The sequence below is a fragment of the Homo sapiens genome, chromosome 9, assembly GCF_000001405.40.
Source record: "Homo sapiens chromosome 9, GRCh38.p14 Primary Assembly".
NCBI lineage: Eukaryota > Metazoa > Chordata > Mammalia > Primates > Hominidae > Homo > Homo sapiens.
In genome coordinates this window covers 35,920,799-35,943,956 of record NC_000009.12, presented here as the reverse complement: position 1 = coordinate 35,943,956, position 23,158 = coordinate 35,920,799, and the positions used below count along the sequence as shown (strand labels likewise).

General features: G+C 41.8%; 1 pseudogene, besides 1 other annotated feature; it reads left to right on the top strand.

Moving 5' to 3' along the window:
* Positions 1 to 947, top strand: PGAM1P2 (phosphoglycerate mutase 1 pseudogene 2; annotated as a pseudogene).
* Positions 19,487 to 20,686: an enhancer, noted in NCBI's record as "P300/CBP strongly-dependent group 1 enhancer chr9:35923268-35924467 (GRCh37/hg19 assembly coordinates)". NCBI's record gives its function as "activates an origin of replication core promoter dependent on BRD2, BRD4, P300/CBP, MED14 and CDK7 cofactors, with strong dependence on P300/CBP, by STARR-seq in HCT116 cells {active_cell/tissue: HCT116}" and the evidence as "EXISTENCE:reporter gene assay evidence [ECO:0000049][PMID:35650434]".

Below are 23,158 nucleotides of genomic sequence, written 5' to 3'. Positions count from 1 at the left end.
GCTGCATCCCCAGCCCACCGCCATGGTCACCTACAAGCTAGTACTGATCAGATGTGGTGAGAGCACGTGGAACCTGGAGAATCACTTCAGCAGCTGGTACAATGCCAATCTAATCCTGGTAGGCCACAAGGAGGCAAAGCGCGGCAGGCAGGCTCTGCGAGATGCTGGCTATGAGTTTGACACCTGCTTCCTCTCAGTGCAGAAGAGAGCGATCGGATCCTCTGGACAGTGCTAGATGCCATTGATCAGATGCGGCTGCCAGTAGTGAGGACTTGGTGCCTCAAGGAGTGGCATTACGGGAGTCTGGCTGGCCTCAATAAAGCAGAAACTTCTGCGAAGCATGGTGAGGCCCAGGTGAAGATCTGGAGGCACTCCTGTGATGTGCCACCACCTCCGATGGAGCCCGACCATCATTTGTAGAGCAACATCAGTAAGGGTTGCAGGTATGCAGACCTCACTGAAGATCAGCTATCCTCCGGTGAGAGTCTGAAGGAAATAGTTCCTCAGATCAAGGAGGGGAAATGGGTACTGACTGCAGCCCATGGCAACAGCCTTCGGGGCATTGTCAAGCATCTGGAGGGTCTCTCTGAAGAGGCTATCATGGAGCTGAACCTGCCGACTGGTATTCCCATCGTCTATGAATTGGACAAGAACTTGAAGCCCATCAAGCCCATGCAGTTCCTGGGGGATGAAGTGACTCTGTGTAAAGCCATGGAAGCTGTGGCTGCCCAGAGCAAGGCTAAGAAGCGAAGGCCAGCAGGCATGCTACTGTCCCCCGGAACACCCTCCCTGGCCATCCCTTCCTCTGCCCCTGCCCCCTGCACATGTCACACTGACCACATCTGTAGGCATCTTATGTTGTAGCTGCAGATGGGGACCAGTGGCTCACATTTTCGTTTTAGCCATTTGTCTCCTGCACCCACTCCCTTCATACAGTCTAGTCAGAATAGCAGTTCTAGGTCACAGGTTCTCAGTCCAAGCTGAGGAAAAGATTCCCTTGTCCAAGAGAGTTGAAAGGTAGTGACTTGGGTTTTTGCCAGTGTTTTCTTTACTAAGGATTTGTGGAGAGGAACCATGCTAAGCCATGACCAATGAGGAGAAGCAAGAGCACCTATCTGGCCCCAGGAGCCAGTTCTCTGCTCTTCTGCAGTCAGGCCACTGCCTGGGGGCTCTAGTCATTCCAGTGGAAGATGAATGTAACCTGCATGATGATGTGACAAACAACATTTCCTCCCCAACCCCAGAAGAGCTGGCTCTAGAAGGTTGGGATCAATCCTGAATTTAGTTTATGTGTTACATTTACTTTTACCGAAAAAAAAAGTATAGTATATGTAAATAATACTAAACAGTAACCTTTCTGGTGTTTCTTGTAGTGATTGAAATAGTCCCACATGTGGTCATCAGAATATAAGCCATTCCTCATACCAAGATGAGATAAGCTCTGAGGGGTAGGAGTGCCTCCTGCTGTGTGTTTTAGAATCCTTCACCTGCCTTGTTTCATGGTGGTGAAATGCCTCTTCGTCCTGTCCAAGTATGTCTTTCACGGATTGATTTCTGAATCATGTTCTAGTTGCTTGGCCCTGCCACAAGGGCCTAGTGTTCATTTAAGCATAACTGTACTAAATCCTTTTTCTGCGCATGCCTGTAATCCCAGCTACTGGGGAGGCCGAGGCAGGAGAATCGTTTGAACCCAGGAGGCGGAGGTTGCAGTGAGCCAAGATTGCGCCATTGCCCTCCAGCTTGGGCAACAGGAGCGAAACTCCATCTTCCAAAAAAATAAAAAATAAAGGAGTGATGTGCAATACAATTTTTTAAAAAAGAATCCCAAACATATTGGCATGCAAGGGGGATGAAGAGATAGGTAGCATCTTCTGTGATATGTCAGTGGGCTGTGCACGTGCACTATTTTTTACATTATTTGAAGCACTCACGTACTTAGTTTTTATTTTGCCCTAAAAGTATTTTTTGTGCTATGATTTTATTTGTGGTGCCCTTTGAGTGCAAGATGATTATGAAGCCTCAAAATGTTGAAAAATTGTTGAAGAAAATAGTACAGAAAGAAGACTGCACCTGCCAAAGAATGACCTCTCCGATCTCTTCTCTACCAGCCCACTCACATCTTTCTTCCTCCCTTGAGAGTAAAATATGCTCCACTATAGTATCTTTCACATATAAATGCCTTCTACCTATGTACTTCTACCTAATAACTTTCTAATTATTGTTTCTTACATAAACTTGCTTTCATTGTTCAGTCAATAGATTTTTCTATGTGTGAATATTGAGGATATCATTGGTCAGAATGAAATGCATCATAGGTTTCCCATTAAAATAAATGGAAATATTTTTCCATCTAATGATTTATTTTCCCCTGAGCAGCAAGGTTTTTCAGGAAAGAATTGACATCTTTAAGCAAAGGATAGGTGTTTTATATGTTTTGTATATGCGATGCTCCCTACAGAGTAAAAGTGAAGTCACATTGCCCCCATGGAGCTCATGGCTACTATTTCAGGAATGAATTGAAGTGCCTGGAAAACTTAAGTCCCTGGGATGACTAGACATGTCCCTATTCCTTGCTGCAGGTAGGAAGACAGCATTCTCAACATGTTGTATTTGTGATCAGAGGGACCAAGATTTGGCCTCTCACCACTAAGAGGAAATGACCTAGAGACCTATGGACTATGCCCCATGAAGTCAAGTTAACATAAGGGAAAAGGTGTGTATCAGCAAGGATTAGGCTTAACTGCAAATAATAGAGTCTCACAGAAGCACTGTTTAAACCAGATGGCAGTTTATTTCTCTGTCCTGTGTAGAGACTGAAGCATAGGCAATCTGGGACTGTGGTAGGAGCTCTATTCCTTCAAGTCCTCAGGGTCTCAAACTCCTTCTAGCTTACTTCTTAATCATCCCTACAGTGTGGTCCGTATTACCTCACAGTCTAAGAAGGCAGCAAGAGCTCCAGCTCCACAGCACATTCCAAGCAGTAGGATAGAAAGAGTGACAAGGAGGAAGGGATGCAAAGGCCATATACCAGCTGTCCTCTAAGAAAGGTTTCTAGAAGCTACCATACTTTAATTCTGCTTGTAACTTATTAGCCTGAACTTATTCATGTGGCCACAGAAGATGCAGTTCACTGCAGAAGATGCTGAAAAATAAAGCCTTAATTCTGGGCGGCCATGTTTCTTAGTCAGCTTGGGCTGACTATAGGCTTAAACAACAGACACTTATTTCTCACCGTTCTGGAGGCCTGGGAAGTCCAAGATCAAAGTGCCAGCTGTTTCCGTTTCTGGTGAGGGCTCTCTTCCTGGCTTGTAGATTTTGAGCTTCTTGCTGCATGCCTTTCCTGGGTGTGCAGGTGTGGGAGGAGAAAGGGAAAGCATGATCTTGATCAGAGAGAAAGAGCGCGATCAGCTCATTCTTTGCCCTTAAGTCTCACTCAGGTTCTGATGAAGTGGACAATATAATTGTAATTGGGATTATGGGTACTATTTCCTTATGCGCATCTGAAATAATAAATTATGCATTTATATGTGGACTTAGATTCTTTGGCTGTTTCCAGACAACAAGAACGTTTCATCTTTTGTGACATACTCCCAAAAGGTATGACAATAAAATCTTCACTTTTATATCTCTGAGAAGATGAGATGTTTTTACAATTGTTATCACAATTCTCTATCCTAGGAAATGGGCTTTCTAAGATCTCACTGTGTGTTGTGCTTTATCCAACATGCAGCCAGATGACCCATGGCCTTAGAGATATGGCAGTATGCTGGTTTCATCCCCTGTTCTGCAAGCTAAGCATCAACAGCTATGACATATATTTGCACATTCGTGTTTCAACTCAGGCCCCAAAGCATCATTGCAGAATTCACACATTATTAATTTCCTAAAGTCTAAACATGTAACAAATTCCAATGAGAGAAATAGTGCAGGTACCCATGGAAAGATACAGGCCGTCATGACGCAGACAGGGATGCACGACCAACACTCAATAGCTAAAGTAGCCAGAATTCTCAGAAAACCTGCATACAACTAAGAACTGCCTTTCCTCATAACTCTGTCAGCCCTTTGAGAGACAAACTGCCTCTTTGCAGCTGATCAGTGCACCCAAGGACAAACAGAGACCATCTGGAGGTTTTTTTTGTTTTGTTTTGTTTTGTTTTTTGAGATGGAGTTTCACTCTTGTTGCCCAGGCCAGAGTGCAACGGCGTGATCTCAGCTCACCGCAACCTCTATCTCCTGGGTTCGAGAGATTCTCCTGCCTCAGCCTCCCTAGCAGCTGCGATTACAGGCGCATGCCACCACACCCAGCTAATTTTGTATTTTTAGTAAAAACAGGGTTTCTCCTTGTTGGTCAGGCTGGTCTGGAACTCCTGACCTCAGGTGATCTACCCGCCTCGGCCTCCCAAAGTGCTGGGATTACAGGCATCAGCCACTGTGCCCGGCCAGGTTTTGTTTTTGTATACTCTGCCTTTACCTTTGTCCAAGGAGACGATCTATGCAATCCTTGTCTTCTCCATACACAAGTAAATCTTCAGCTGTACTCTAAATATCTGAGTTACTGTCCTCCTCATAATGTTGCTATTGTAATAGCATAAAAAACACTTTGGAACAGAATCGATTTCACCACTAGTAAAACACTTGCATTCCTTTACTTCAGCAACCTTCACAAATAGTCTTCAAAGTGCACATTATGGCTCAACTGAATCTTCTGGTAGAAAATCCCGTTATAAGAGACAGCTGGGCCTGAGGCTTCAATTAACCCCATTTCACCAAACTCACTGGGTAAGGGAGCTATAGGAACTACCAAGTGGTGGTTTTTGCTTGGATCACACAACTATCATCTGCATGAACCACTCTCATATTTTTTTTATTGCTGTGACAGTTAACCTGAACGATACAACTCCAGCAAAAACCCTGCAACACTGGGCCAGACAGCCACAGGCCCACATAATACACACGGTGGTACAAATCAACACCATCCATTTCAAAATACTGAGGATTGAGAAGAGGTTGACTCATCCCACAGGTGTTGAATGTCTGTCGTTATGGTCCACCAGCCTTACTAAGGGCTCCTATTCTATCTAGATTTACCATCCAGATTTAGTTTTAAAAGTCCCTAACCCTAAAGTACCTCATTGATCTCTCCCAAATCCTCACCGCTAAGGGAACACAAAGTTCTCACCAAAAGTTTCCAGTGACTTCACCTTCCTGGACTGTAACAGGGATACTTGGGGGGCCAACCTCTGTTTCTCTTGGATGATCGCAGGTTTTAATGTCCAAGTGACAGGCCCTGGAAAGTGCTGGGCCCTCCAAAATTCTTCTGTGGGCTGACCACACCTCGGGATTTGACCTGTGGGGCAGGGAGACACTATGTTGCAACTGTAGGTGCGAGACAACGGCCCTGGGCCTATGTGCATCTGGGCTGGGGGACCCTGGCACATGAGCACTGACAGCAACCTGCTGCTGCTTTTTACCAGAGCAGTTGACACACCTTGCTTGTGTGTTCTGTTTTTAACCATTCTGAACTGAATGAAATTTAAGAATTTTTTAATAGCCACCGTCATCCTTGTTTAAATTAGTTTTAGGAAGTAGCTTTATAGTTTTACAGGATTTTTTTTTTAGACTCAGAGGAAGTCAAGCATCAAAGCATTTTTTTTTTTTAAGACTAACAGGATTTCAGATACATAATGAGAAAGTCACTTTATTTTCTGGCTAAAATTTTCAGACAGTTTAAAGGAAAACTTTTCATTTTGTGGGTTAGTTACATTGGAAACTGAGGCTTGGGAGGTTATCAGGTCTCCAGGGTCTTTTATTTTATTTGTTTGCTTCTACACAGAGATTAGTCATAGGAAGAAACTTAATTATTATTATTTTTTTTTTTTTGAGATGGAGTCTTGCTCTGTCGCCCAGGCTGGAGTGCAGTGGTGCAATCTCGGCTCACTGCAAGCTCCGCCTCCTTGGGTTCATGCCATTCTCCTTCCTCAGCCTCCCGAGTAGCTGGGATTACAGGCATCTGCCACCATACCCAGCTAATTTTTTGTATTTTTAGTAGAGACGGGGTTTCACCGTGTTAGTCAGGATGGTCTCGATCTCCTGGCCTCGTGATCCACCCACCTCGGCCTCCCAAAGTGGAAACTTAATTTTTTAAACAATTTTTCATCTTGCTAAGATGCGTAGTCTTGTTACATTACATCTGGGGCCAAAGTAGACAGTCCAAGGCATGTAGGCTGCACTGCTCCCCAAGAAGACTTGGGTGCCCCATTCTTTCTTCCTGCTCCACCTTACCCTATAGTGTTGTCCTCATGCAAATGATTAAATCCGGCTCACCACTTCCCTTCAAACCGTCCAGCCCAAAGAAAGGGGGACAGAGAAAGAATGGATAGTTTTTCCTAAGGACTTGACTTGGAAGTTGAACGCATTGTTTTTGCAAACATCTCATTACCCAGAAGTTAGTCATATGGCCTTACCCAGATGCAAAGGATTGCAGGAGATATCATATCTGTCTGTGAGGTCATGTGCTCAGCTAAAATGTAGAGGGTTTTATTGGTGAAATGAGGAAGTGAAAAATGGATATTGAAAGATTAGTGGTCTCTGCCACAATGACATTTGTTTCATGGATGATTGGTGGATCATGGCTAGTGGTTAACTTGGTGATTGGGAGTGCTTAGGGGAAGGGGTATGATTAGTTTTGGGGGAATTGATTACTTTGGAGGATGTAATGGTTTCTAGGGGTTTAATTAGGTTTAGGGCTGTGTGTTAGTCCATTTTGCATTGCCATAAAGGAATATCTGAGACTGGGTAATCTATTTTCAAAAAGAGATTTATTTGCCTTGTGGTTCTACAGGCTGTACAAGTTTGGTACCAGCATCTGCTCAGCTTCTGGTGAGGCCTCAGGAAGTTTCCACTCATGGCAGAAGACAAAGGGGGACAGGCGTGTCACCTGGCAGGACAGGGAGTGAGAGAGAGGGGATGGAGGTGTCAGGCTCTTTAAACCAGCTCTCACGTGAACTGACACAGTGAGAACTCACTCATTACCATGGGGATGGCATGAAGCCGTTCATAAGGGATCTGCCCCTATGACCCAAACACCTCCCACTAGGCCCCACCTCCAACATTGGTGATCACATTTCAACCTGGGATTTGGAAAGGACAAAACATCCAAACCATATCAGGCTGATTAGGCTTGAGGAAGGGAAAACTGTTGAGTCTGGATTGAAAGTCATTGTATTAATAGGTAGTGAGGCTGATTACATGATTATATGAGGATTTTAATAATATATATAACTCCTGGATTAATACCAAAATACAACAGAAAGGGTTCAGATATAGTAAGTTTGGTGATTCTGAGATATGACTTTTTGCTTTGCCAAATACTAAAACTTCTATGTAGAAATTAGTTAAGTATAACCAATGAGTTTTGTTTTTTTTTTAATAAAAGTGTCCAATTCTCCTCCTTCTCCTTGTGCACTGTACTGCAGGGCCAATATTCATTCCATTTAAGGCCCATTTGGTCTCCTGGAAAGCTGGCCACAAATAGCTTTCAATAACACCTCTGGGCATACACCAAAGAAGTAAATCTGACTCTAAGTAAAATCTTGTAGCTTGCCAATATTTTCACCAGTTAGGAATTATAGGAATTCAGCCATAGAATTTGAACATAAATTGAAGTCTCCTTTTAGCCATTTTTTGTTTTTAGTAGAGACCAAGATCCCATTCATTGCCAAACGTTTTCATAGGCATGAATGCTTGTGTTTGATCCAGGAATAATAAATGATTGACTGTTACCCAGCAGCAGGGTGGGGTGGGATTCCTGGCACTTTTTTTTTTTTTAAGCAAAGGAAAAACAACTGAGCAGACATTTGCTCTTTCAACAGCGTTTTGTGAAAATGTAAATTAAAGAGACTAGTCTTTTTAAAATTATTTCCATAATCACAAATACGACTGTGGAAAGTCAAGACAATGCTGTTTTAAGTCAATATAAGTTATCTGACCTAGACGTCGCCATTAGGACTGTCAACTAACAAGGCATCTGTAGTTTGCTAACTTTTTTATCTTAATGAATTCTGAATTCAAATGTTTTCTTTTTAAATATAAATATTTGCTTTCGCTAAAGGTAAGTTGAAATTCTTGAGTGTTGACTTGAGTACGTACAGAAAAGATCAGTTTCACTGCCAGTAGCTGGGAAATCCATGGTTGGAATTCAAAAACAGCCAATGTATTATACATCATTACATTTCATTGTACACATTCCTATAATATAGAATAAAATTTAAAATTATTTTTGAATAAAACCTTGATTATAGGAATCACAAGAGAAAAGTTTGCCTCATTTAAGAAGTGCTCTAAACTAATAGCTCTCAAACATTTTGCCCTGCAGGTTAGCAAAAATGAAAAGACTAATCAGACCTAATATTGCTAAGTGTAGAAGAAAATAAGTAGAGTCATGCGTTGTTTAGACTGAGATGCATTCTGAGAAATGCGTCATTAGACGATTTCATCATTGTGGGAACATCACAGACTGGACTTGCACGAACCTAGCCTAATATATACCTAAGCTATATGGCATGGCCTATGGCTGCTAAGCTAGAAACCTGTCCAGTGTGTTACTGTACTGGACACTGTAGGCAATTGTAACACAATGGTAAGTATTTGTGTATCTAAACATAGAAAAGGTACAGTAAAAATATGGAATCATAAACTATGGACCATTGTCATATATGCAGACCACACATCATTGACCAAAACATACATACTGACCAAAATATCATTGTGCAGTGCATGACTATACACTTATACTTGGTGCTAATGTAAACTGGGCCAATTTTTAAAATATAATGCTATAATGTTAGATAGATATATAAGAAAAGTAGACTGAATAAGGAAAACTCAATCATATCCCAAGAAAGAAAACTAAGAGCCTAAAGGCCAAATAGTCCTCGGTTTTACAAGTTGAATCACCATGCATTTAATATTTTTTTAAATTTTTTATTATTTATTTATGTATTTATTTGTTTGTTTGTTTGTTTGTTTTCAGATAGAGTCTCACTCTGTCTCTCAAGCTGGAGTGCAATGGCGCGATCTCAGCTCACTGCAACCTCTGCCACGCAGGTTCAAGTGATTCTCCTGCCTCAGCCTCCCAGGTGGCTGGGATTACAGGCACTCGCCATCACGCCTGGCTAATTTTTTGTATTTTTGTAGAGATGAGGTTTCACCATGTTGGTCAGGCTGGTCTTGAACTCCTGACTTCAGGTGATCTGCCTGCCTCGGCCTCCCAAAGTGCTGGGATTACAGGCATAAGTCACCGTGCCTGGCTACCATGCATTTAATATGAACTTGCCAGATTCAGCAAATAAGAATACAGGTTGCTCAAATTTAATTTCAATTTCAGATAAACAATACTTTTTTTTTTGAGGCGGAATCTCGCTCTGTCACCCAGGCTGGAGTGCGGTGGCACGATCTTGGCTCACTGCAACCTCTGCTTCCCAGGTTCAAGTGATTCTCCTGCCTCAGCCTCCCGAGTACCTGGGACTACAGGCGCCCACCACCATGCCCAGCTAATTTTTGTAATTTTAGTAGAGACGGGGTTTCACCATATTGGCCAGGCTGATCTCAAATTCCTGACCTTGTAATCCACCCACCTCGGCCTCCCAAAGTGCTAGGATTACAAGAGTGAGCCACCGCTCCCGGCCAAACAATACTTTTTTTAGTATAAGCATGTCTATATACTTTGTGTCATAGCTATAGTTTAAAAAGTATTCATTGTTTATCTGAAATTCAGATTTTACTAAGCATCCTGTGTTTTATCTGGCAACTCTAATTTAACATAAAACAATAATGATTACAAGATAGGAAAGTTTTATCTTAGATTGTTGGTAAAATTCCTGCCCCAAATCTCTTCTTTCACATCCTTTACCCAGGGTATGATTTTCCAACTGTTGTCCTAGAAATTCCCTGGCTAATCTTGTTATTTTATCCTTATCCTTAGATCCATCTTACAATGTCCTCCAGTATCTCTTACTCATTTTTTTTCTTTCTTTTTCAGTCATAATTCTTTTCATTTTCAAGTTGCTGTTAATAGTTCCACGTACATTCAAGAGACAATCCTCTTACCCATCTCAAAACTAGGCATTACTCAATTTTCCTGGAGGAGGGTAAGAAGAAGCCAAATCCAGAACAGAGAGTACAAATAATTAACAGGCTTAATCTTTGGAGTGTCTCAACTGCAAAGGAGTAATTGTTTTCCTACCTACTCTTGTTGCTTTTACAGGTGAGCAGACAGGCTGGAACAGACAGGCAAGGAAAAGACTGTTGAAAAGATTGTTCCAAGAACATGAAATTTAACTGCAGTCCGATTTGTACAAATTCCATTTATCTTGGTTTCGAACTACCCCTCTCTACCACTCGGATCTTTGGAAGCTTAAATGGCTAGTTACAATTAAAAAAAAAATACAATCAAATGAAAAAACTCTACAGGAATTTAGACACTGACTTGAGAGTTAATTACACTACAGACTTATTGTGAAATGTTTGGGGGCCTAAGAATGGTATTGTGGTTATGTTTTTAATAAGAGCCTTTATCTTTTAGATACATCCTGAAATATTTGCAAATTAAACAATACTCCTGGAATTAGCTTGATAAGGTAGGGGATGAGTGGATGGAAGTACAGATAAAGCGAGTTTGTTGAAGCTGGAGAACAGGTACCCGGGAGCCCATTATACTATTCTCTGTGTTTTTATGTGTCTTTGAGATTTTAAGAATTTTACTTTAAGAATAATAAGAATTCTTAAAGTAAAAATTATTATATGCATACGATGCAATGTTATTCAGCCTTGAAAGGTAGAAAATTCTGACACATGCTACAACATGGACGAACCTTGAGGACTTTATGCTAAGCGAAATAAGCCAGTCACAAAACAGCAAATACTGTATGATTCCACTTATATGAGGTACCTAGAGTTTTCAAACTCATAGAAACAGAAAGTAGAATGGTGGTTACCAGGGGCTAGGGGGAGGGGGAAGTGGGGAAGTATTACAGTATTTGGTTGGTACAGAGTTTCACTTTGGAAAGATGAAAAAAGCCCTGGAGATAGGTAGTGGTGATGGCTGCACAACAGCGTGAATGGACTTAATGCCACTGAACTATACACTGAAAGATGGTTAAGATGGTAAATGCTGCATTATGTATATTTTACCATGGTAAAAAAAGAAATGAATTTCATTTTATAAATAAAAAGTACTACTTTTATTACGGATAGCACAAATGAAAATGAAAAATAGCAATAAAATCTGAATACAGAGGATTAGAAACTAACTTTTACTCTTGAAGAAAAAGTACATATTCTTTTCAAAAATTAAAAAAAAAAGTCTATCCTCTTAGTCTTCCCCAATGGCAATTTTTTTTTATTATTTTTTATTTTTTATTTTTATACTTTAAGTTTTAGGGTACATGTGCACATTAATGGCAATTTTAAGCTTTCTATTTTTTTTCTTTTTTAAGACGTAGTCTTACTCTGTCACCCAGGCTGGAAGTACTGGCATGATCATGGATCATTACAGCCTCCACCTCCTGGGCTCAAGTGATCCTCCCACCTTAGCCTCCCACATAGCTAGGACTACAGGCGTACACCACCAAACCCAGCTGATTTTTTTTTTTTTTTTTTTTTTTTTTTTTTTGCTAGAGACAAGGTCTTCCTATGTTGCCCAGGCTGGTTTTGAACTCCAGGCCTCAAGCAATCCTCCTGCCTTGGCCTCCCAAAGTGCTGGGATTATAGGCATGAGCCACTGCATCCCATCTTTGTTTCCTTTTAAATGTGTTTTATCTTTGATTTTACATAATAAAAAGAAAATAGAAAAATGAATAAATATTTTCATACAAAATACAGCAAGCACTACCATCAGTAGTGCTTGAACAGTTCAAGTATGACAATTTCTGTAAGCCCACATGTCCCCCTGTCCCTAAGAACCAGATCACAAAATCCCGGGCTGTGATTTCAGCAGGGCACCCTCCGCAGCACATCCCAGCTGGTTTTCTACACTCATCTGGCATCCTAGGGACCACTGCATGTAATTCCAGCCCCTTTGGCCAAATCCCAGGAGCTTTCCCACAGAAAACAAAAACGCACATAAATTGACAAAGCAGCCACCCTTTAGCAATTCTAAGACAATCTAGGCTCAAAGTGCCCTAGGTGGGTTCATAAAGATTAGATATGTCATGTTTGCGTTCACTGTTTTTTCTTTTCTATTGCCTTGAAAAATAACAGGCAATACTCGGTTACTTCTAAAATGTCAAACCCCACGGAAGTAATCTAATTCTTGCACTGTTTCCCATGCACCCACCCACCACATAGATCTCTAACCCAAAGCAAGCACCATGAGCAAAGAACTGAGGATTCTGTGGGTCCTCTGACCTGGGCCTCCCAGGATACCAATCTTCCAGGGAACTCACCCGTATATAGTGACCTGGCCATACTGAGAGCCAACCCCTTCTGCGTTCATATATCTAAGGCAAATTATCTGGTCAATGAGCTACACACAGCAGTAAATGTAGCCGGTAAGACCCTGACTCGATGGGGTTGTAGCCAAGAGGAGAAGGTGACACTGAATAGGTAACTAACTGTCAGTGTGATGAGTCCCATGAAGGAGTGTATAGATCACTTTAGAAGCTTAGCATAGGCTACGTACTCTAGCCTGGGGTGGCAGTGGTCAGGGAAGCCTTCTCCGACAAGAAGCAGAATAAGGGGATCAAAGTTACAGCTCATTGTGGAGAGGAATCTTCCAGTGAAATGGCCTGACTCAGAAGGTGTCTAGACAGAAGACAGAGCACATGTGGGGGATGCTAGGGAGGACATTTCCTGCCCTAGGTGGGTTGGAAGGATGTAGAGGAGCAAAGTCATCAAGAGCACAGGTTCAGGGAACAAACAGCCCTTAGGTCCCTTTCACCTTCGTCACTTACTAGCCACAGAAACAGACAAGTTGCTAGACCTCAACATTATGCACAGTTTTAAACATACACAAAAATAGAATAATTTTACTAACAACCATGTTCTATTCATCACTCAGCCTCAGCAATGACCAACCCATAGCCAACCTTCTTCCATTTATAACCTTATCCAACTTCTCCAACTCCATCATTAATCTGAGGCAAATGGCAGACACTGCATCATTATACCCATAAATATTTTATTATACCCATTAAAAAGGTATCTCTAGAAGATGACTTCTTTTAACATATTGCACAATACTATTATCATGTGTAAAATGTTAGTAGTGTCTTATTATCATCAAATATCTAGTCATTTCTAAATTTGAAAATTATAATTGTCTCATAATGTCCTAATGTTTTTCTCTCTCTCTCTCTTAATGGTATCTTTGTTTGAATTAAGATCTAAATAAGGTCCTCTCATTGCATTTGGTGCTTTGCCTCTTTAAGCCTTAATTTCCTCATCTAACTGAAACCCCTTACCATATCCTTAATTTCAGAAGGGCAAAGCTTTAACCATAACTGGAGAAGAGTGTCTGTCTGAGGATTAGCCAGGTAGTCACTTGCAAGAAATTCAAGGATTCTTTCCTTGGGTTCCAGTTGCCTGTTGCAATGTCCATAGCATCCACCATAGAGGAAGGATTAGGGGTGGGTCCTGTGCCCTATTCAGGTTGCCCCTCATGTTCCTCAAAGGTCTTGGCAACCTTTGTTCTCAACCCTGGCTGCTGCCCAAGCAGTTGCCCCTCTTTCAGTCTACCTGGGATCCTCTTTAGTCTTCTTCCTTCACTACCAAGCTCCAGCCCTAAGCCTCGTGGGCTCTTTAAACTCTCCCTCCGACTCACCTTTTCCTACTGGGGACTTCTCCTTCTCCCTTGCATGTGTCCATGGTGGCCAGTCACTGGGTTCCATCTTGTTTTCTCCTGAATGGAGATGATTTCAAATGGGTGAACACAAAGGAGGAGATGAAAGAAAACAACCTAAGCCTCAAGCACCCAGAGACAGTCAGACTTTTAGCACAGCTCCAGTGATTGCCTCGTAGTACATCACTTAGATTTACGTTATTATGCCCCCAGCATCTCTGTCTCTCTCTGAGCTTTGAGTTGTCTTACAGAAGGCAAACTTTTGTTATCCCAGCTTCGTGTGAATCTCACTCATCCCAAAAGCAGGAGTTGGTGTGCGTCAGGCCTTACGAAAGGGAAATTCTGCCATATAACAATGAATTTAATAACTCCAACTACACAGGTAGATATTGGGTGGAATTCATGAACAAAATGGTGAACAAAATGAGTAAAAGGCATCAATCCTGACACTTGTGAATTTTCACTAAATATAACTATAAAACAAGTATTATTATCAGGTGATCGCTGAGGTCTCTCCCATCTAACTACCAACCCTAAGGCACGAAGGAGTCGGGACTGGGCTCACATGTCGTGGACGCTGGAAGACCCACCTCCTAGGGGACCCTGGACACGATGCCCAAAGGGGCTGTGAACTTTGCTCCCCTTCAGTTTCTTTCCTGGACTAACTGTGCTCTTCAGGAAGCAGGACATCCTGGAACTTTGGGGCGGACACTTCACATTCCAAACTTTGAACTGTGTCTGTGATCAGCCCTTTGGCTGGCATAACCACTGAATCTTTTCACCAGCCCCAAGCGGGAGACAGGGCAGGATGCTTGTCCACATTTTGCAGGTGAGAAATCTTGGGCTTAGAGAAAGCATGGCATTCCCTCTGCTCAAAGTGGGAGGGAAGGCAAACCAGGACCACAGTCCCAAATCCCAGGCCAAATCTAGTTCTATTTTCCTGTTTCTTTTTCATTGCCTTCAATCCAAATGCTGGATTTTTTTCAGAATACTAAATAATACATGCCCATGATAGGAAGATTGGACAAAAATATAAGAAGGAATTCCATCCCCTGTGGTTAATAGCTCTAAACATTTTGAAGTCATTTCCTTCTGTCTGGTCATTTTTTATACATGCATATTTTTATGTAATTGAGATCATATTGTATGTGCACATTTATATCTTATGATTCACTTAATTTCATATCATAACTATACCTACTATGTTACAAAAAACTTGTTGACATCATTTTAATGTGTGAATAATTTTCCATTTTATCAATATGCCATAATTTTTTTTGTTTGTTTTTTCTGAGATGAGTCTTGCTCTGTCGCCCAGGCTGGAGTACAGTGGTGCAATCTCGGCTCACTGAAACCTCTGCTTCCTGGGTTAAAGCAATTCTCCTGCCTCAGCCTCCCGAGTAGCTGAGACTACAGGCGCACTCTGCCATGCCTGGCTAATTTTTTTGTATTTTAGCAGAGATGGGGTTTCACCGTGTTGCCCAGGCTGGTTGCGAACTCCTGAGCTCAGGCAATCCGCCCCCCTCGGCCTCCCAAAGTGCTGGGATTACAGGCGTGAGCCACTGTGCCTGTCCTATGCTATAATTATTGAATCTACTATTTATTGGTGGTTACTTTGTTTCCAATGTTTGTTTTACAAATAATGACGAGATGAACATCTTTGTTGAGAAAATGATCCAGTCTTTGATTATTTCCTTAGGATTGAATTCTAGAAAGAGACTGCTGGCTCAACAGGTATCTGCACCACAAAGCTCTTACCTGTGGATCCTCAAGGAAAGTGCTGTCATGTTGATACAGCTGTCATTCAGAAACAAAGTGACTTCTAAATAAGCTAAGTAAATTCAATAGAAAATCATATTCTTTAACTTTTCAAATTATACTTTCTGTATTTTGAAATGTATTGGTCTAATGTCTGATAGTTTCAGTAGATGTAGAATGTAGTAAATATTCCAGATGAAATGTAGTGAAGATATTAGGAGATCATGCTAAATTTCTAGGTGCCATTAGAATAAGTTAAATGGCTTCTACTGTATCTAAGCTGACCAGGCAGCAGAGATCCACAAGGATGGATCTCATAGCAACTTTGCCAGCCCTAACCCATCCTTCTTAAGTTCAGACTTGAATAACCACCTGCCTATCTGACATCTGAACTTCGATGTGTCATAGACTTTTCCAATTTAATTAATACTAATCCAAAACATTTACTCTTGGTTTCTCAAGTCTCCTCTTCTAACGTATTCCTTCCCAATTCTTCTCATGTAAGTAAATAAAAGCATCGCCACTCACCTGGCTGCTCAGGACAAAACTCTGTGGAGCATTCTACATTCCCCCATCTTCTACATTTAACGCATCAGGTAGTCCTTTAAAATATATCCAAATTGGGCCGGGCACGGTGGCTCACACCTGTAATCCCAGCGCTTTGGGAGGCCGAGGTGGGCGGATCACCTGAGGTTGGGAGTTCGAGACCAGCCTGACCAACATGAAGAAACCCCATCTCTACTAAAAAAATACAAAATTAGCCGAGCGTAGTGGCACACACCTGTAATCCCAGCTACTCGGGAGGCTGAGGCAGGAGAATTGCTTGAATCCAGGAGGCGGAGGTTGCGGTGAGCTGAGATCGTGCCATTGCACTCCAGCCTGGGCAACAAGAGCAAAACTCCATCTCAAATATATATATCTCCAAATTGAACTCATTCAGTTGGTGTACCTGCTTCCCTGCAGGCCAGACTTCACATTTCATGGCATGTCTCTCCCCAGCTCAAAACCCTCCAATAGTGTCCCATCACACTTGAGAATCAAATCCAAACTCCCATATAATCTGCATCCTGTCCACCTCTGGAAATTATCTCCCACCCACTCGTCCCACCTTCCCTTCCCTCCAGCCACACTGATATCACTGCTGATTCTCAAACAGCCAAGCTCCTTTCTGCCACAAGACTTGGAACGTGCTTCCTCCAGTTGGTCACACAGTGGCGATCCTTCACGTTGCCCAAGTCTCTGCATGAGGGTGCCTTCTCATGTCCCTAAGATTGACATCCTCCCATTGCTTCCCAGCTCCCACTGCTTTATTCTTCCCCATAACACTCATTACCCCCTGACAATCTATTTATTTATTTGTTTATTGACTAACGCCCCATTAGAATGTTCATTTCATGGGGGAAGGGGCTCCATCTGCCGTGTTTGTACCTAACACACAGTGCCCAGCAGCACAGAGCACAGTTCAGTGCTTAACACATAATCATGCTCAATAAATATTTTGTGAATAAATGAATGAGGTAGAAAGCCTTCACTATGAAGAATGTACATTACATTCACTTTGGCTTATCACAGAGAAGGACAATGAAAAGGTCATTCTCTGCTACTTGAACTACCATTAAGGGGAAGTAAACTATAAGGGCCTTGTAAAGCATAAGTCTCTAGACAAATGGAAATTATTATCATTACATTAATGTGGTGGCATGCTAGATGCTCTCTGCTCTGTAAAAATGGACAGGACCAGGCCAGGCGTGGTGGCTCACACCTGTAATTCAGCACTTTGGGAGGCCGAGGCAGGAGGATCATGAGGTCAAGAGATCGAGACCATCCTGGCCAACATGGTGAAACCCTGTCTCTACTAAAAATACAAAAATTAGCCAGGCGTGGTGGCGCATACTTGTAGTCCCAGCTACTTTGGGAGGCTGAGGCAGGAGAATCACTTGAACCCTGGAGGTGGAGGTTGCAGTGAGCCAAAATCATGCCACTGCACTCCAGCTTGGCAACAGAGGGAGACTCCATCTCAAACAAAAAAAAAAAAGAAAAAGGACAGGACCCAGTCCCTGCTCACACGGATAAAGACATCAGACAGTTAAGTTGCTCACAGAAGGCTTTTACTAAGAGAAATAGTTTGCTGTAGGTACACTAAATTTCTGAGAATATTGGAGGATTATTTAAAGAGAGCATTTAGAAAGGTCATCATTGCCATTTTGAGAATAGAACTTTGAAAATTAGTTTTGTTTTTAAATGCAAATAGAAAATTCATGTCTATCAAAAAGTAGCTATATGTGTCAAAAATGAATAGTCAATAAAGTTTAAGTTACCATAAGCACGTGGATCACATTACTGGTTTCTCTGATTTGAACCATGAAATTATCTAGTTGCTGTAAATACACAAAAATGGCATCTAGTAGACACTCGAATGAACTACTAATCCTTGGAAGGTCAATTCAGACAACCAGGTGTCATCTCATCCATATTACCAGACTTCTAGATCTTATAGCCAGTGTAAATTTTAATGGAATTATATAGGATTGCCAAGATTTTATGTTGTCTAATTAGGGTGTTAAACAACAATAGCTAATACCACCTACTACTAAAAAAAGACATTATAACACCTCCTGAAATAGAAAGAACATAATCTTGGAATAAAGAGAATGTACTTCAAATTGCAAATATTTAGTTTTATTTTTAAAATGTACTACATTGCCTTTTTTTCTCTCTCTCTCTCTTTTTTTTTTTTTTTTTTTTTTTGAGACAGGGTCTTGCTTTGTTACCCAGGCTGGAGTGCAGTAGCACAATCACAGCTCACTGCAGCCTCGACCTCCTGGGCTCAATTGATTCTCCTCCTCAGCCTTCCAAGTAGCTGGGACCACACACGTGTGCACCATCATGCCTGGCTAATTTTTAAATTATTTGTAGAGACAGGGTCTCCCTGTGTCGCCCGGGCTGGTAACTCCCGGGCTCAAGAGATCCTTCCACCTCAGCCTCCCAAAGTGCTGGGATTACAAGCATGAGCCACCGTGCCTGGCTGAGACCTGGAAAATGTTATAGACAGGTAGGTACCAATACATAGGCTGGTATATGGGAACTGCTGCTCAGTTAATGACTCCTTCTGCATCCTTTGATTAAATATTCCCAGCAGTGGAGAGTTGCTATCAAAAAGCTACCTCCATCCAGTTCTGATGGGTAGGAGGTTTCTCTTTAATTTAGGGTAAAGTTGGCAGCCTCCACCTTTGGGTTCTGGTTTTGGCCTAGAGCCCTCTGTGAGGAAGGCTAAATCTTTTTTACTTAGATGTGTGAAAGCAGCTCTCAAACCCAATCCCAACTCCTGTAAGTTCTTCCTAGACTGAATCCCCAGCTCCTTCAGCCAGTTCCTAAACCATTCACTGGCAGAGCAATAAGGTACGTTCCAGCCTTTGAGTGGTCTGGTTCCTACAAACTAAAGACCACAGGCATAGAGGCCAGGCGCAGTGGCTCCGACCTGTAATCCCAGCACTTCAGGAGGCCAAGGCAGGTGGATCACTTGAGCTCAGGAGTTCCAGAGCAGCCTAGGCAACACGGCAAAATTCCGTCTCTAGAAAAAATACAAAACTTAGCTGGGCGCAGTGCTGCATGCCTGTAGTCCCAGCTACTCAGGAGGCTGAGGCGAGAGGATCATTTGAGCCCAGGAGGCAGAGGTTGCAGTGAGCCGAGATTTCACCACTGCATTCCAGCCTGGGCGACGGGAGTGAAACCCTGTCTCGAAAAGAAAAGAAAAGGTCATAGTCATTTGTGAAAAGACCTTTGAGTATTAAAAATCTGAAAACTTCTTTTACCAACTTAGAGGAGTATAAAAGCTTATTCATCAGCCTTCTTGGCAGATGGGAAGACAGGCATGCATGAAACCACAGCCTCTTCTATTCCAAATGTATCATCCATTATCACTAGATGCAGCTGCCTCCCCCACACTCTCTGAGTCACTGGGTAATGCTACAGTCTTTCATTTTCACCTCCATTACAAACCTTTCAAGGATTCTTGCTAGTAGCTTTTGCTTTCACTAGGAACTTCCCAAAGGCAAAATTACAACAAATTATTTGTAATGATCAAATTGGCTTTTATTTGTGATTCTAGAATCAGGCAACACCTCATTCTACGAAATAGAATGAGTATTCCAGTGAAGTGGGCAGAGAAGTTTGGCTTTATGGATAAAAGAGGGCTGAAGAAAGCAGAAACAGGGAACAAAAAGCAGATTGGTCATTTCAAAGTTGCTTTCCTTATAGGGTTAAAGCAGAGGGCACTTTTTATTGTGCTGATTCAGGGTGACTGGAAGCTCCTGCGTTTTTGGAAAACTGCCTCATTTCAAAGTCCGGTTTGATGACTTGGCAGTTAGCACAGGTGACTCTGCTCTGGTTTGATCTGCTCTGCTAGGGCCAGTGTAGGAGGCTAGTCCAAAACAATGGCCTCCCATAAACTATGTAACAGAATACAATGCACTGGTGTGCTGTTTAATTTGTTTCAGTTATGAGTGATAGAAAACCACATATCAATAGTGGTTTAAATAAGACTGTTTTGCTTTGGTATAAAAGCCTGGAAGAAGGCAGTATAGGACTGATATGGGCTCCCACAGTATCAGGAACCCAGGCCCCTTTTATCTTATTGTTCCCCCAAATGGGGCTTCTACTCCCAAGGCCACTCTGGTCCAATCTGACTTCTGTAGCTCCAGCCATTATATCTACATTCTGGCCAGATAAAGGAGAAAAAACAAAGAAGAGTATTCCGCCTCTATTTAAGGACATTTCCCAGAAGTCACACACCACTTCTACTGGCCATTCCTAGTTCCAAGAGGGACTGTGTTGATGTTATTGTTGTTTTTCTAATAAGGAAAAAGAGGAAAACTGAGGTTAGGAGACAAGTAGACCCCTGTGCACAGGGTCAGACATAAAGTCAAATGATCACCGATGCAGCTCTGGTGCGGCCTCTCTGAAAAATCACCAAACTTAACACCAAATCCTAAGGACTCCATACCTCAAACCCCTTAAAATGAGATCAATGAAAATGAGCGGTGGCCAAAATTGGGACCCAGGAGAATGTATCCAGTAGGATCACGATCAGTCAAGCAAATAGGTTTTACTTGGGTTTCCTGGATTTGTGTTGTGTTTTGTTTTGCTTTGTTTGAGATGGAGTCTCCCTCTGTTGCCCAGGCTGGAGTGCAGTGGCACAATCTCGGCTCACTGCAACCTCCATCTCCCGGGTTCAAGTGATTCTCCTGCCTCAGCCTCCCGAGTAGCTGGGACTACAGGCGCGCACCACCACGCCCAGCTAATTTTTATATTTTTAGTACAGATGGGGTTTCACCATGCTGGCCAGGATGGTCTTGATCTCTTGACCTCATGATCCACCTGCCTCAGCCTCCCAAAGTGCTGGGAATACAGGCACGAGCCACCGTGCCCGGCCAGATTTGTGTTTTTATGCAGGAATTCCTTCCCAGCATTTCTCGGAAATACTGTTTTTCCAAATGCCAATTCCTGAGAAAAAGAAGTTAAGACATCTAGGAACCTGGTAAGAGTGTTTTTGTGTGAGAATTAAAGCTTAGCAATCAACATGTTGAACTAGATGTGACTAGTTCAAAGGAATCCACTGACACCAAATCAAAAGCGAGAGTAGAAAATACTGAGGCACCCATAGGAAAGTTAAGTTCTGAATGGAACTGGGGAGTAGAGGAGAGAAAAGGCCATCATCTAATCAGTCTTCCGACTGCTGTTGCCAGGGTAGAGGTGGTGGTGGGCTAGCGCTGGCTCAAGAAGAGCCAGTTGTATGCTGCTCTTCCCAGCTCTCAGTGACATCCCCTCGGTAGCTGGGCATTGACCATTGTGGGAACATTTATGCCTCCCCTCAGAATTTGGCAAACCCTACATATAAGGGTTTTTTTTTTTTTCTCCAGGAGAGTCAGTTTACCAGCACACACTGGTTATAAGTGTGTGTTTGTGACCTGGTCTGCTTCTAATGGTAAGTCATTTTTGCAAATAAAACAAATATTGGTAAGTTTGTACACATAGGATACTTATACAAGTCCTATGAGCAGTGTCGGAAAAAAATAACAAATTTTGAAAGCAAAATAAGTCTTGAAACTGGCAATTCCAACAAGTGATTCTATGAACCTTGTTAGTGAGTCTGAATGTTAGTTATTTGAACACTTCCCAGTAATGATTGCTGGCATTTCCACGTGTTGAATATTCATTATAGGCTACAGTTCTTTGTAAATACTTTAACAGAAGAGATGCAAAAAGAAGACGTGATTGCTGTTATAGAACACTCCAGAAGGAAATCAGAAATTGCTCTAAAATCTGAATTAGCAAGAGCAATATTGATCTCAATGGCAAAATCAAGACCAGAGTAAGCAGACCAAAAAGTAAAAATAAAAATAAAGCATCATTTAAAAAGGAAATGAGCTTCTATAAAACAACATGTACCCTAATGGCTAACCTGAAGATGTTAGGGGCACACTCAACCAACATCAATGAAAAATGAAAAAACAAAAAAGTTTCCTACATCTAGAATATTTGTCACAAAACAAAGATCAAAACTATCAGATAGAGCAATTAAAGCTTTGTGTTTTAAAAGTTCATTTTAAAAATAACTTTTAAAATTAAATGTTTGTGCTATTATTTTTCCATTTTTAAGTGATTTTTATCTGGCATTTATTTTGCAATAATGTTCCCTCCTTTTTAATGTTTTCTATATCCAGTGCCTATATCAGGTGGAGATAATTTTTATGTTATTGAAATAATCTTGTCACAACATATTGGTTCATAATAATAATAAACCTTAAGGAAAAAGTCTGGAACTTTTAGCATCAATTTGTCACTGACAATTATTAACTGTTTATTATTCTGGTCATTCATTATTATTTAAAAGTATGTGAATATAATGTTATAGAAAATATGAGCCAGGCGCAGTGACTCACACCTGTCATCCCAACACTTTGAAAGGCTGAAGCAGGAAGATAGCTTGAGGCCAGGAGTTCAAAACCAGCCTGGTCACATAGTAAGACTCTGTCTCTAGAAAAGAAGAAAACAAAATAGCCAGGAGCACCCTAATGGCTAACATGAAGATGTTAGGGGCACACTCTATAGGCATGTACCTATAGTCTCAGCTACTCGGGAGGCTGAGGAAGGAGGGTCACTTGAGCTCAGGAGTTCGAGGCTGCAGTGAGCTATGATCGTACCACTGTACTCCAGCCTGGGTGACAGAGTAAGATCCTGTCTCCAAAAAAAAAAAAATTTAATGTATAATTTCAGGAATGCTCATGAATTCCCAGAAATTTCAATTTCTCATTCCTGAATACTGAACAGAAGTATTCGCGGGGAATTTGGAAACATTATTCTGGAGCTTTCAAACCTTTTAAAGCAGCAGACCCCTTTTTATCAAGCAAAATCTACCTGGGAAACAGAAGATATAAAAGAGGCAAAAATGAGGCTCTGGCTGAAGGAGAGGGGATAATATGGTCCTGTGCTGAACTTTGTGACCAATTTGTTGAGTGACTTGGAGTGGGGCCTGTCACTTTTGTGTCTCTAAGTCTTGGT